The 13,530-nt window shown below is 55.8% G+C and overlaps 2 protein-coding genes across 21 annotated transcripts in view, besides 5 other annotated features; one reads left to right on the top strand and one right to left on the bottom strand.

Annotated features, from left to right (window-relative positions):
* The window catches only part of TKFC (triokinase and FMN cyclase), a 20,199-nt gene extending 7,230 nt beyond the window's left edge, over window positions 1-12,969 (bottom strand). For 5 of the 20 annotated variants that reach the window (NM_001351978.2, NM_001351977.2, NM_015533.4 and 2 more), the window contains exons 1-17: window positions 12,868-12,969; window positions 11,466-11,577; window positions 8,067-8,256; window positions 7,021-7,131; window positions 6,762-6,943; window positions 4,683-4,761; window positions 4,285-4,374; window positions 3,702-3,736; window positions 3,539-3,623; window positions 3,353-3,442; window positions 2,739-2,855; window positions 2,222-2,341; window positions 1,924-2,061; window positions 831-937; window positions 632-735; window positions 452-485; window positions 251-340 (exon numbers count right to left, since the gene is read on the bottom strand). In NM_001351978.2, the coding sequence (NP_001338907.1) occupies window positions 251-340; window positions 452-485; window positions 632-735; window positions 831-937; window positions 1,924-2,061; window positions 2,222-2,341; window positions 2,739-2,855; window positions 3,353-3,442; window positions 3,539-3,623; window positions 3,702-3,736; window positions 4,285-4,374; window positions 4,683-4,761; window positions 6,762-6,943; window positions 7,021-7,131; window positions 8,067-8,256; window positions 11,466-11,468 (1,575 nt within the window). In that variant the 5' untranslated portion in view covers window positions 11,469-11,577; window positions 12,868-12,969. Of the gene's footprint in view, window positions 1-250; window positions 341-451; window positions 486-631; window positions 736-830; window positions 938-1,923; window positions 2,062-2,221; window positions 2,342-2,738; window positions 2,856-3,352; window positions 3,443-3,538; window positions 3,624-3,701; window positions 3,737-4,284; window positions 4,375-4,682; window positions 4,762-6,761; window positions 6,944-7,020; window positions 7,132-8,066; window positions 8,257-9,806; window positions 9,994-10,259; window positions 10,358-11,465 lie in introns of all 20 variants that reach the window. The other 15 variants (XM_047426732.1, NM_001351976.2, XM_047426735.1 and 12 more) reach the window with 6 other exon arrangements.
* Window positions 220-1,146: an enhancer, noted in NCBI's record as "H3K4me1 hESC enhancer chr11:61112523-61113449 (GRCh37/hg19 assembly coordinates)". NCBI's record gives its function as "activates a minimal SCP1, AML or CMV promoter by ChIP-STARR-seq in primed H9 embryonic stem cells {active_cell/tissue: H9 hESC(primed)}" and the evidence as "EXISTENCE:reporter gene assay evidence [ECO:0000049][PMID:30033119]".
* Window positions 12,485-13,007: an enhancer, noted in NCBI's record as "NANOG-H3K27ac-H3K4me1 hESC enhancer chr11:61100662-61101184 (GRCh37/hg19 assembly coordinates)". NCBI's record gives its function as "activates a minimal SCP1, AML or CMV promoter by ChIP-STARR-seq in naive and primed H9 embryonic stem cells {active_cell/tissue: H9 hESC(naive and primed)}" and the evidence as "EXISTENCE:reporter gene assay evidence [ECO:0000049][PMID:30033119]".
* Window positions 12,485-13,089: a biological region, named in NCBI's record as "NANOG-H3K27ac-H3K4me1 hESC enhancer GRCh37_chr11:61100662-61101184".
* Window positions 12,830-13,089: a silencer, noted in NCBI's record as "silent region_3390". NCBI's record gives its function as "represses an Ori minimal core promoter by ATAC-STARR-seq in GM12878 lymphoblastoid cells {active_cell/tissue: GM12878}" and the evidence as "EXISTENCE:reporter gene assay evidence [ECO:0000049][PMID:35858748]".
* Window positions 13,008-13,530: an enhancer, noted in NCBI's record as "NANOG-H3K27ac-H3K4me1 hESC enhancer chr11:61100139-61100661 (GRCh37/hg19 assembly coordinates)". NCBI's record gives its function as "activates a minimal SCP1, AML or CMV promoter by ChIP-STARR-seq in naive and primed H9 embryonic stem cells {active_cell/tissue: H9 hESC(naive and primed)}" and the evidence as "EXISTENCE:reporter gene assay evidence [ECO:0000049][PMID:30033119]".
* DDB1 (damage specific DNA binding protein 1) overlaps window positions 13,092-13,530 on the top strand; it is a 33,655-nt gene continuing 33,216 nt past the window's right edge. The window contains exon 1 of the mRNA NM_001923.5: window positions 13,092-13,289. Within this exon, the coding sequence (NP_001914.3) occupies window positions 13,229-13,289 (61 nt within the window). The 5' untranslated portion in view covers window positions 13,092-13,228. The remainder of the gene's footprint in view (window positions 13,290-13,530) is intronic.

Below are 13,530 nucleotides of genomic sequence, written 5' to 3'. Positions count from 1 at the left end.
CTTCTCATCTACTTCCAGCAGGGAAAAGGGTCACCATTCACTGAGGCCCTGTCACATCCCAGGCAGTGTGCGGGGCTCTACATATTTCCTTAGCCACATAACCACCTTCTGAGATAGGTGCTCATCTCCATTGTACAGAGAAGGAAACTGCGGTCCAGGAAGGTTATTAACTTGCTCAGGGTCACATGGAGACAGGAGTCTGCTGGCTAGAAGCCTGTCTCCCCAGGTGGCTGGGCCCAGCCTCACTCACCTTGACTGCTTTGGTCAGGACTTGTAACAGATCAGCTCCTGGGCTCTTCCAGGCTTGGAGCTCCTGCCCCGCTGCCCACAGAGAATCCAGCTGGACAAGGTGAAGGAAAGGGGGCTGAGCACGGGCCCTGCAACCGAGGGTGCTCTTTAGACTTACAGGGCCAAAAGGAGAAAGGTCTGAGGCCACAGCCTGAGTACATACCATAGTCCTGTCCCCTGGAGCAGCCTTGCCATACCTGGCAGGGAAAGAGAGTGAAAGAGGCTCACTATAGGGAACCAAGGGAATCACTCTGAGGGTTGGGCTAGGGCCTGGCAGGGCGCAGATGTCACCAAACACCTCCCCCAGCCCACCCCTGGTCTGATGCACAGGGCTCTGGCTCACTTCTGCATGGCTTCCAGGCCGGCATCCATGGCAGCAGACCAGGCTGGGAGGCTGGTCTTGGCCTTCAGGGGCTGTGCAGCCGCAGTCAGGAACAGGCCATAGAGCTGGGGAAGATGACAACGCTGAGCATGTGGTGCTGGCCTGGACCCCAGCCAGCCCAGCCACCTCCCTGTCAGCCCTTCAGCCCCCAGGCACCCACCGCCCCAGATGAGCCTCCCATCTTCTCCAGGAGCAGGACAGACAACTTGGAGAGCAGCTGGGCAGGGCTGGCAGGGGGTGGGCCCTCCTTCAGCCACTCCTGGATTGCTGCAGGCAGAGAGAGATGGGGAGGAATTCAGAGATCCTCCCTCCATCTGCCAGACTTCCAGCCAGCACCAATGAAGGCTGGAAAAGGCCGACAGGGAAGTGGAATGAAGGCTTCCCAAGATCCCTTTCCACATCCAGTGTGCAGTCTGGAGAGGGGCTGGGCTGCGTAACCGAAAGGGGCCTGGGGAGGTGAGGCCTGCCCCGAAGCCCTCCACTTGACGCTCTGTACTCTGCTCCCTGGCTTGGTTTTTTTCTCCTTAGCCCTTTGTGCTAACATCCTCTGTGTTTTACTGATTTATCTGGTTGACTGTCTTCCACCTAGAACATAAGCCATGAGGGCAGTGATTTCTGTCTGCTCTGTTCACTACTGTATCCACAGCTGAGAGCAGTGCCTGCCCCACGGCAGGCACCAAATACCTTTTTCTCGAATGAATGATGCTGGACAGTTAAGAGCTTTTCACTGGTCTGGGTAAACTGAGAAAAATAAGGACAACAGAATAAGTTCGCCTTGAGTTGTAAGTTATTCACTGTGAAGGATTTCATTTAATTCTAAGATAACAACCTCATACATTTGTGGTGTTAAGAAGGTCCCTGTCGGCCGGGTGTGGTGGCTCATGCCTGTAATCTCAGCACTTTGGGAGGCCAGGGCGAGCGGATGGCTTGAGGTGGGGAGTTAGAGACCAGCCTGGCCAACATGGCGAGACCCCGTCTCCACTAAAAACACAACAATTAGCCAGGCGTGGTGGCGCATGCCTGTTATCTCAGCTAGTCAGGAGGCTGAGGCAGGAAAATCACTTGAACCCGGGGGGCGGAGACTGCAGTGAGCCGAGATCACACCATTGCATACTCCAGCCTAGCGACAGAGTGAGATTCCTTCTTAAAAAAAAAAAAAAAAAAAAAGGAAGGTCCCTGCCTTCAGGGAAACAAGTGGAAGGGGGGCTAAGGTTTTGTGAATGACCTCACTTGGCAAAGTCCCTGGCACCAACCTCTGGCCGCACGGCTGTGGGTGGTGCCACAGTCGCCGTCACCAGCAGCCCGGTCCAGGGCATTCAGGTGTTCCTCCAGGCCCAGGAGAGTGCTGCACACCCGTTCCAGCACCAGCGCCATCCGCTTCGAGGCTGAGCCTAGAAAGGGAGGATGCTGAAGAACAGGCCCACCAGGCCCTTCTCACAACCACACTTGACTATGGTGGGAGGTGTGGGTGCCAGGGCCCCTACCCGCCCCACCGTATACTCCTGCATCCTTTGGGAAGCCTGTCCCTTCCCCAAAGGCAGGGGTTGGTACCTCCTGCAGCAGTGGAATCAGGGGCCTCCTGGGGCTCGGCAGGGGCTACCCGGCTCCGCTTCCGCCCAGTAATGGAGACTGCAGCCACGTTAGGCCAGGCTGCTGCAGTGGTTTCAGCATCTAAGGGCAGCAAGATAACTCTCTTAGACACGGCTGTCCAGCCAGGGATTCAGCAGGGCTTGGACCCTCCCATCCTGACCCTGGTGGCCTGGCTTTCTCAGCAGCCCTGGAGGAAGGGAGTCCACCTCGACAAGCATGGACTGAGTGCCTACTGTATACAGGGGTATGGAGAGAGGGTCCCTGGGAAAGGGTCAGGCCTCTCTGAGGAGGATCCTAATACCAACTCCTTCTAGTCCAGTGAGAGCTGGAGAAGGCTGGAGAAGCCCAGGAAGAGCCTTCTTCACAGGCTCCAGAGCCCTGATTGTCACGGTCAGCCCTGACGGGGTCTCCAAGTCTCCCTGGCTCCTTCCAGTTACAAGGAGCCCTGGCTTGGGTGACCCCAGGTTCCAAGTCTCACCTATCAGTTTCAGGAGAGGCTCATCCACCAGCAGGAGGGTGAGAGAAATGCCAGGCATCTCCAGTGCTGACATGAAGGTGCCCACCAGGGCACGGGCAATCTTCACCCCGCGGCCCTCTGCAATACCAGAGTGTGGCAGTCCAAAAGGGAAAAATGGGCATCAGGGAAAGAAAACAACAGAAAAGCAAGGACCTTGGAAGCTGGGGCTCTGAGGTCGGGAGGGAGATGTCCTGATTTCCTCCTGGCAGGCATCCCTCAATAACCCCACAAATGACCACGTTCCCTGGAGGTGTCCCCTACGTCGGGGAAGATGAGTAATTACAGGTCTCATTTACTCAGTTCGTGCCAGGTGCTGGGCGCTGTGTTGAGTGTCTTACATATGTTTAATCTCACTTAATCCTCAAAACAACGGTATAAAGCAGGTACCATTATTATTACCCCCAATTTGCAGACAAGAAAACAAACAGAGGCTCAAGGTATCCGGCAATTAGGTGGCAGAGAGACGATTTAACTCAGGCTTATCTGACGCACAGTCCGTGTTCTCTGCCATCACAAGACCCTCCCTCAGCCCTTTCCAAAGGGCTGTAGGATCCCCTTCCCAGTGCATGGCTCACCCAGGGAGCGGACGGTAGCGTCGGCTATGATGCCCAGTTCCAGGAATGACAGGCCACCCAGGTTGTTGACCATCATCACAACTGAGGAGCCTGCGGGTAGACATGACACCCCAGGTGAGACCCTCTGGGCGTCTCCTCCCCAGAGGTTTAGGAGGGGTTGGGAGACGCGGGCGAGAGGCTACCCACCGGGCTGCACAGGCACATGGGACGCGTTGGTGGTGTTTGTCATGTGGTCGAGCATGAGTTTCACAATCTCATCGGCGGTTGCCATCTGTCAGAGGGAGCCAGGAATGAGCTGCATCTGGGGGGCCTTGGCCTTAGGGCGGCCTGTGCCAGAGGGACCACCTACCTTTATCCGGCGCACACCAGCTTCCCCGTGGATCCCTGCGGATAGATGTGGTCACTGCTGACCCACTCAAGGCCTGGGGATTTGCTCATCGTTTTTATCAAGGACTCACACAGTGCTGGACTCACACAGTAAGTGGGCGGGAGTGGGGGATGGAAATGGACAGAATAATGAAAAACACGATCTCTGTTCTCTGGGAGCTTGTGGCCTGGTGGTGGAGATAGCTTTAACTAGAGATAGTTAAGGAGGAAGCACAGGCGAGGAAAGAAAGCTTTGCAGCCAGGTGATCTTTGAACAGCCGTTGAAAGAAGGGTGTATTCTGGCAGGGACAGGAGGACCTGGGAATGGCAGGCAAAGGCTAGGAGGTGGGCAGTGCACAGAGCTCCACATGGCCAAAGCTGTGGGTATAGACAGCAAAGCAGGTAGAAATCAGGCAGGTTGGCCCAGGCTGGGCCTCAAATGACCAGGTAAAAATACTAAGACCACCTGGGGAGAGGACCAGGTTGATGGCTCTAAGGGTATGCAAGGTGGGCAAAGTCCAGGGCCAAGGAGCAGGCAGGGCTGGGATGGATGGCCACAAGCTTACCCAGGCCCAGCTCCACCTCGTCGGCTGAGAGCTCGAAGGTGGGTTTGGAACCAGGGACGCTGCAGGAGGATAAGCTCACCCCCAGGGTACCTATGAGAAACAAGGCATGAAGGGATGACTGTTCCACTCTTAGCACTGGGCATCAGGAAGGGTGGCAGCAGCATCTCAGAGGCCCTGCCCACAGGTACCCTCTTCTCTGAGAAAGGCTGCCAGACTCTCCACCTCAGCCATGGTACCCAAGGCCACCAGTCCCCAGGAGCTCCCCCAGGGATACACTCCCTAGACCCCTGGGGAATAACCTGGGGAGCACCGCTAGGCAGCCAACAGGAACCTGCTCCTCGCCCCAGGGCTGTCCAACCTTCCCCACTCTCTTCCCCAGCTCCCAGGCCAGCACTCACCCATGGCCTTGGCGACCACGTTCACCTGCTTTGCGATCTCCTCCAGCCCCACACCAGCCTCAGCCAGAGCACCTGCCACCTGCAGCCACAAAGAGGTAAAAGCCCCAGGGGGGAGGGTATCACTGTACCATGTGGGGTAGAAGACAGGCAGGGGATGAATTTCTTGTTGGGAAGGGGGAACCTCAGGATTTTCACACTCAACCTGGCCCATCACATTTAGGGCAGAAGAGCAAACTCCCCTCATTCACAGTGTACCTGCCAGGAATCTTCAAGAATTCCAGTCTGTTGGAGTCAGAAGAGACTTTACAAATGGGGAAATGGACCCAGAGAGGGGCGGTGACTTGTCCAATGTCACACAGCCAGTGGGTGGCCAGTTTCCCAACTCTAGAGTTCCAGAGTTCTCTCTCCCATAGCCTTGCTATTTTGGGTCACTTTACCCATCTATCCATCCATCCATCCACCCAATTTTTACCAAGCATCTAGTATATGCTGAAAAGGAAAAAAGGCGACTAAGTCACAGTCTCCACCTTCAAGAACTCACAGCCTGGGGAGAGGCTAGGGAAGCAGATACCCATAAATTGAAAATTTATGTGAGGTGGTAATTACAGTGATGGAGTCCACACTAGGACTGGCTGCCAACCAGCTCAGGGTAGTGGGGAGATGGAGATCAGGGAGAGCCTTCCAGGTGGGGAGACATCAGAGCTGGGCCTCTGTAGAATGGTAGGAGTTAGCCAGGCCAAAAGGAGGCTGGACAAGGAAAGAATTTTCCAGGCCACAGATACTGCATAAGCAAAGCCAGAGATGATCCATAGCCTGGCAGGTACAGGAGCTGGCGTGAAGAGACCATAAGAGGAAGGCAGGGGCCGGGCGCGGTGGCTCACGCCTGTAATCCCAGCACTTTGGGAGGCCGAGGCGGGTGGATCATGAGGTCAGGAGATCGAGACCATCCTGGCTAACAAGGTGAAACCCCGTCTCTACTAAAAATACAAAAAATTAGCCGGGCGCGGTGGCGGGCGCCTGTAGTCCCAGCTACTCGGGAGGCTGAGGCAGGAGAATGGCGTGAACCCGGGAAGCGGAGCTTGCAGTGAGCCGAGATTGCGCCACTGCAGTCCGCAGTCCGGCCTGGGCGACAGAGCGAGACTCCGTCTCAAAAAAAAAAAAAAAAAAAAAAAAAAAAAAAAAAAAAAAGAGGAAGGCAGGGATGGCTGGGCGCGGTGGCTCACGCTCGTCATCCCAGCACTTTGGGAGGCCGAGGCGGGCAGATCACTTGAGGTCAGGAGTTCGAGGCCAGCCTGGCCAACATGGTGAAACCACATCTCTACTAAAAATACAAAAATTAGCCGGGCGTGGTGGCAGGCGCCTTGTAATCCCAGCTACTCGGGAGGCTGAGGAAGGAGAATCACTTAAACCTGGGCAGCGGAGACTGCAGTGAGCCAAGATCGCGCCACTGCATTCCAGCCTGGGCAACAGAGTGAGACTCTGCCTCAAAAAATAAATAAATAAATAAAAAATAAATAAAAGAAAATAAAAAAAAGAGGAAGGCAGGGATGATGGGAGATGAAGGTGGGGAGTCAGGGAGCTATGGTGAGGGCTTGTATTGATTGTAGGCACCCAAGAAGGCTTTCAGTGGATGAATAACCTAGTCAGATACACATTTTAAAAAGACACCTCTGGCAGTAGTGTGGAGAATGGATGAGCAAGGCCAGAAGGCAGGAAGCAGGCAGGGGAGCCCAGTGAGGAGGTGGCTGCAGCCATCAGGCATGAGTAGATGACCCCTGAACCAAGGCAAAGCAGGAGGGCGGGGTCTGAGAAGGATGTGTGTTGTACATTTGGGAGGAGAAGCACCAGGACCGGGCAACTGATTGGGTGTGGAGAAGAAAAGGGGACGAGTCTGGGAAAATGCCTGTATCTGGGCTTAGGTAGCTGAGGGGATGGCGGGGCCTTCTGAGATCAGGGAACACTGGAGAAAAAGAACTAGCTTCTTGGGGAAGGGCTGGAAAGGTCCAGTTACTGGGTGCTGCCAGGCAAGGGAAGGCTGGAAAGGGCTGGCCAGTCTCCACGTCCCCGGTGGAAGCCCACCTTGTGTATAAGCACCGTGCCGCACAGCCCCCGCCGGCCTGCCTTCTTCAGGACAGTGAAGGCGCTGTCGTCCCCAATCACCACCATCTCCACCGGGATGCCTTCAGCCCGGGCCTGCTCCCGGGCCAGGCCGAAGTTGAGCCGATCCCCAGTGTAGTTCTTCACGATAAGGAGCGTCCCCACTGCGGGAGCAGCCGGAAGGGCTCAGTGTGCTTACTGTGCCCTCCCTGCCGCAGCCCCTCCTGCATGCCAGGCTTACCTGTGCCGGCCTGGGCCACGGCCCTGATGGCTGCCAGGATGCTGCCCACTGCCGGGGAGGTGAACACAGCTCCCGCGATGACCCCAGTCAGCATCCCCTTCCCTATGAAACCTGGAGGTGGAAGGAGTGGAGTGAGCATGCTGGGTGGGACTCGCGCCTGTAGTCACTGGGGCTTCCCACACTCCGGGGGTCATGGTTTGGTGAGCCCTACTGTGTGCTTGGTGCTCAAAGATCCCCCAGGTCTTCACATGGCTGACTCCTTCTTAGGAGGCATCTTAGAGAGGCCTTCTGTGACCTCCCAGCCTGAAGCAGTCACCAGCTCCCTCCCCAGGGACTCACTGTTCCTTTGCCCCATTTTACTGTCTTTACTAAGTCACTTAGCACCCTCTGAAATGATCTCATTTACTTTCGTGTTTACTTGGTTATTGTCTGTCTCCCCTAAGTAGAATATAAGCTCCACGAGGGCAGGGACCTTGCCTGTCTGGTATCCCTAGTGCCCAGTACAGCGCCAGGTACACAGTGGGCTCATGAGTGTTTGCCAAATGAATGGATTTTGCTGAAGGAAGACAGGAAGCAGAGAAATGACGCGCATCCTAGTCCCTGCCCTCCAGCAGCCCTCAAGGAGAGTCTGCGTCCCTGGCTCCACACAGGAAAGAAGCCAGGACAGTCCACAAGTGGGACACAGCAGGTGGGAATTCAGAAGAGGGGTGCTGCTGTAGGCTGGAAGAGTCAGGAAGCCTTCATGGAATCGGGGTGGGTCTGCTGGGCTTGGAGGGTCCAGAAGATTCATGGAATCACCGACTCTCAGAGCTAGAAGGACTTGAGAGATTGTTTGGCCCAACTTCGTAGATTTGTAGATGTAGAAACAGATTCAGAGAGGCCGTGATGGGCCCCTGATCCCAGCCGGAGGGAGTGGGAGAGTGGGAAGTACCCCAGTTCCTGATTCTGGGCTGAGCTCCATCCTGCACTTCATGGCAGCACTAAGGATCCCCCAGGAGGCCCTGTCCACTCCACTAGTACCCCCTGCCCCACCCCAGGATACTCACCAGCATGGGCAGGCTCATGGCCAGAGCCCCCACCCGACAGCAGTGCCACCCGGCCCTTGAGGCTGTCCAGGTCAGAACGGAGGGCCACGCGGTGGCCCTGCAGGAGCTGCAGGTTGGGGTTGCAGGCCACCAGGCCAGCAAGAGCGTCATCAGCACAGCCAGCCACCGAGTTCACCAGCTTCTTGGAGGTCTGCAAGGGAGGAGTGAGAAGGAGGTCAGAATGTGGTCAGTACAGATACCCCCATCCTGCGCAGCCACACTGCTGTGGTGTAGACCCCTCTCCCGCATCCACCTAGGAACTCCAGGAGCACAGGACTTCCTTGAGTTGGGCGACATCTTAGGTGGGTATTTCTGTGAGTTTTCAGTAATGTGTGACTTTCTATTCAGTACCTAATTTATGAAGTGTCTTGCACCATACCTTCAATTTATTCTGAAAAAATGGCTGCAATACAAAGAAAATGGGGGAGTGGTTGCCTGCAGTGTAAAATATTTTAATAAAACTGGGGCCCAACACCTTCTTCTGTCAAAAGGAAGAAAAGCCTCAGGCTGAGGCTCCTATGCTGGGGGAGGAGCTGAGCAGGTTCCACAGCCACCGCTGCTCCCTGGTGCTCCAACGCGGGGCAAACATTTCCCCAGCCTCTTGGTATGCCAGGCCCAGCACTAGACACTATGTGTAGAGATAACAGCTCAGGTGCAGTGGCTCATGCCTGTAATCCCAGCACTTTGGGAGGCTGAGGCAGGCAGATCGCCTGAGTCCAAGACTTTGAGACCGGCCTGGGCAACATGATGAGACTCCATCTCTACAAAAAATATGAAAAATGATCCAGGCATGGTGGTGCATGCCTGGAGTCCCACTAGTCGGAAGGCTGAGGTGGGAGGATCACTTGAACCTGGGAGGTCATGGCTGCAGTAAGCTGTCATCGTGCCACTGCACTCCAGCCTAGGTGACAGAGTGAGACTCCATCTCGGAAATAAAAAAAGAGATAACAATGCTGTTCCTGCCCTCAGTGGAAACACAGCAGAGGTCACAGCCATGTGTAGTGGGCACTGCTACACGAGGAGCGCACGTGCACCATGGGAGCATAGAGGAGGGGCCGCAGCCTCCCGAGGGGCCTGGAGGTCTCTGGGAAGGATAAGCAGGACCGGGGTAGGGAAAAAGGGGGCAGGAGACATGGGAGGAGGGAAAAGGGAGGCTCTTCCAGCCAGAGGGGGAGCATAAGCCAAGGCCTGGATGAGTGAATAGTGTGGTGGTGCCAGGAAGCACGGGTGACCAGCAGGAAGGGGTGGGGAGGAGAGGACTGGCCACAGGCAGCCTCAGGAGGGGTTGTGGACAGGCTGGTGGAGGGTTACAGAGCAGTGCCGCCAGGCTTGGCTGAGTGGATACAGGGTGCAGACAGAAGTGAGTAGCGTGGGGGCCAGAATGGAGTGTGGCTTGAGCTCTGCTGTTACAGGGACTTGGGTTCAAATCCCACTTCTGCCTCTCATTAGCTGCAGGAACTCAGGGAAGATACATCATTGTCGGGAGCTAAAATTCTTCCTCTGTAAAATAGGGATTTACTAGAACAGAGTATATGCCCATGATATAGTGGAAACTCAATCAAATGAAGCTACTCCCTTTTTCAAACAGGCTGTGAAAAGCCAGAGTCTGCTGAACAAGGGCTGCAGCCCCTGGCTTTGTCCTGAAGACAGAGTGAGACTGGGGCCCAACGTGGACTCAGAGGGCTGGGCTCCCACCGCCACCTGGTGGCCCGGTGGGAACCTGCAGCTGAGCCAGGTCCTGGCAAGGTGAACTTCCGGCTGTGGCTTCTTCCTGAGCTTGCTAGCACCAGCTCCTTTGTACAAAATTTGGCTCTGCTGCCTCCCTGCCAACCTGTCCTGCATCCAGCCAGGGCCAGGGCTAAGCCACCTGCTTCAGAGTAGCCTAGGTCTGTAGGGAGCAAGAAGAACAATAAGATTGGTTCCATTTGCTGAGCAGTGACTAAGAGCCAGGCCCAGTTCTAAGTGTTTTTGAGCATGTCTCATTTAATCTTCCCAACAGGCCGGGTGTGGTAGCTCATGCCTATAATCCCAGAACTTTGGGAGGCCAAGGCGGGTGGATCACCTGAGGTTGGGAGTTCGAGACTAGCCTGATCAACATGGAGAAACCCCATTTCTACTAAAAATACAAAATTAGCTGGGCGTGGTGGCACATGCCTGTAATTCCAGCTACTCGGGAGGCTGAGGCAGGAGAATTGCTTGAACCTGGGAGGCGGAGGTTGTGGTGAGCCGAGATTGCGCCATTGCACTCCAGCCTGGGCAAAAAGAGCAAAACTCCGTCTCAAAAAAAAAAACCCAAACTAAAACAAAACAAAACTTCCCAACAGCCCTATGGAGGAAAGATGAGCCCAGTGAGGAAACTGAGGCACAGTTAAACTATTTTGCCCAAGGTCACACAGCCAGCAGGTGTCCAGGTCTGCCTGGCTCCAAAGCTGGTTCCCTTTTGGCCATATCATGCTGCTTTCTCGAGGGGCTGGAGGGAAGTGGAGGGTGACAGAGGTTGCCCTAGAAAGGACATGGGTTTGTGGCTCTCAGAGCCTACCAGGGACTGGAACACACAATGAAGTTGTGAGTTGGCCTCACTCCAAGCCCAGCCTCCAGCAGCACTACCCTCCAAGAAAGTGGCCTGCTCCCCATCATGATAATCTGTCTTTTACAGAGCCAGAAGAGGGTTTAGGGACCAGTGCTATCCCTGGTTTCAGTGGCCTGAAAGGATGGAAAAGGAAAGGAAGTCAAGTGAGGCCTCCAGGACTCTGCTTGATCAACACCACACAACCACTGGAGGTAGGCCTTAATTTGCCTTATAATGCAGATGAAGAAAAAGAGGCGCAGAGAGGTCTGTAAAAGGTCATGCAGCTGGTCAGTGGCAGGCTGAAATTTGAATCCAGATATGTTCAAGGCTTGTTTTGGTTCAAATCAGTGGGCCTGGAGCAAAGCCCAGGGACATGGCCAGCCTCCCACACTGTAGATCCCAGCTCCAGACCGGCCCACATAAGCCCCAAGGTTAGGAACGGTCACATGGTCATTCTTCACGATTCCTTCTGTGACCGGTACAATGTCTATTACAGAGCAGGTAACTGTTACTGTTTTACTCTGAATGCAAGACCCAGATAAGGGGCAGAGTGGCTCTGAAGGGACTCAAGAGGCTGCAGCCCCAGGCCTGGCTGGGACCAGCAGCCTCCAGGAAACAAAGAAAAGCAGGGATCAGACCCTGGGAGAGAGGATGACCCTCTCTCTTCACCCGTGAGCCTCAGGAGGCAATAGCATCTCTCAGTCAAAGTGTAAGGAGCTTTAGCTTGCCCAAGGCTGGGATCCTGCTTTGAGACCATGCTGCCATTCCCGTCCCGGCCCTGTATGACTCACCATGGTGTGGAGGCTCTGAAACAGGCTGAGTTCACACCGTTGCACTGAGCTGCTGGAGGATGGACAATCCTGTGCTACCTGGGTCTGAGTACAGTGGAGGCAGCAGCAGCACCTGCAGGAGTGGGTAACGATACAAGCTGCGGAAGGAACTCGCAGTCGACTGGCACAATCACGCCTTCAGCACCCTAGTAATTAGGGAGCTGCCCCAGACTTCGGTCCAAGTCCAAACTCTAGTACATGGGCTACGGATGGAGAAGAGTGTGGGGCTGACCAAGGTTCATGCCTGCACTTCACTGCCAGAAGACAGATCAATCCATGTCAAGCACAGGTCTGCCTTTATGTCCAGGAACAGCACCCACTTCATCACTAAAGGACAGTGATCCTCAGAATAACTATCTTTTACACGGGCATCACATGCAGCGAAAAAGTTAACAAAGCTCGTCACACGCTTGCCCTCACTGGCCTTGGCACCAAAAGGGAAGGGAATGGGGGGAGCTAGCCAGGTTTGTGACCCATTTTACTTCTGGGAAACAGACTCAGAGAGCTCTAGGGACTTGTCCAAGGTAATACAGGTAACAGCCAGAATCTAAACCAATGTCTAGTTTTTCTACAGAGTGTGTTTTTACTACTGATAATTCAGTGCCTCCAAAGTCAGGCAGAGTCTCTGCTATGGGAAAGGCAAGATGTAAACCACGATGACTTTCTAGCTTTTCCTCAGTTCAGCCTGGTTCAGCAGCGTGTTGGCCTCTGTGTGGGTGCACAATAGGAAGAATCAACATAGCTCTGCCTCAGCCTACTTGGGGTTGTGGGGAGGGTCTTAGGTAAACCAATTCCTCCCTAAGCCTCAGCTTCCTCATCTGTAAAATGGGGGTTGGCTCCTCTCTGGCATTCTGCGAGTGTGCCAAGCCACGTGGTATTCCTCTTGTTCCCGGGGAGCCTGTTTGATGTGGGGTACCCTGGAGGCTGCAGGGCTGACGGCTCTCCTGGCTCATTAAGGTTCCCTACGGAGAAATACTGGTTTTGTGTTTGAGGTTCGAATTTGTAGAGCAATAGGGGCACTAATAACGTTGGGCAAGCAGACCGGTGGGCCCTTTGAAGTCTGAAGAATCAACGCGCAAAAGGGAGGAGGTGAGCAGGTGGTCGTTCAAACGTCAGGCGAGGGCACCAGCTGGATCTGGAGGAACTGAGACAGTGAAAGGAAAGCAGGCAAGGTTCTAGTCTGGGATATGCACGAATCGCGGTCTCCCTTCCCTCTCTATGCCTCCGCAGTCCTTCCCGTTCCCAAAGGAGGAACAGCCCGAGGGCTCCTGGAGCAACGGAAGGAGGACTGGATGCGGGGAAGGGCAAAGGGCGCGGAACGGGGTGGGGAGTCTGCGGGCGAGCTCGGAGGACACTGGCGCACCTCCCCCGCCGGCTCACGGCCGCATCCGCCACATCCGAAGGCGCCGCGACTTCCCGGAGACCCCGAAGCGTGCGCTCTCATCCGGGTCCTGCGGGCGCTGGCGGAAAGAGGCGAGGCGGTGCCTCCGGGGGCGGGGCCTCCTTCGGTTGGCGGCCTCGGGCTTCGGGAGTCCTCCAAGAGGCCAGGTGAGGCCGTCCCGTGATGCCCCGCGCCCCGGCCGCTCTGGCCTGCAACGTGTCTCTGGGGCGGAGGCAGCGGCAGTGGAGTTCGCTGCGCGCTGTTGGGGGCCACCTGTCTTTTCGCTTGTGTCCCTCTTTCTAGTGTCGCGCTCGAGTCCCGACGGGCCGCTCCAAGCCTCGACATGTCGTACAACTACGTGGTAACGGCCCAGAAGCCCACCGCCGTGAACGGCTGCGTGACCGGTGAGGCTGCCGGGGCCGGAGACCCCGGCGAGTGAGGGAGTTGGGGGGAGCCGCGGCCTAGGGAGGCCCGCCGCCCCGGGGGCGGCCGGGCAGGAGTGGGCCCGGCGAATGGAAGGCGCTGGCGGCCGAGGAACCTCCCCCAGCACCGCGACCTCGAAAGAGTCGTCCCTGTACGCGCTTTTTGGGGGTTGGAAGCCGCTCTCGAGGGTCCCCTTTCGTCCTGGGGAGGTCATTCGGCCTC

The sequence above is a fragment of the Homo sapiens genome, chromosome 11, assembly GCF_000001405.40.
Source record: "Homo sapiens chromosome 11, GRCh38.p14 Primary Assembly".
Lineage (NCBI taxonomy): Eukaryota > Metazoa > Chordata > Mammalia > Primates > Hominidae > Homo > Homo sapiens.
This window is presented reverse-complemented; position numbering and strand designations above follow the sequence as displayed.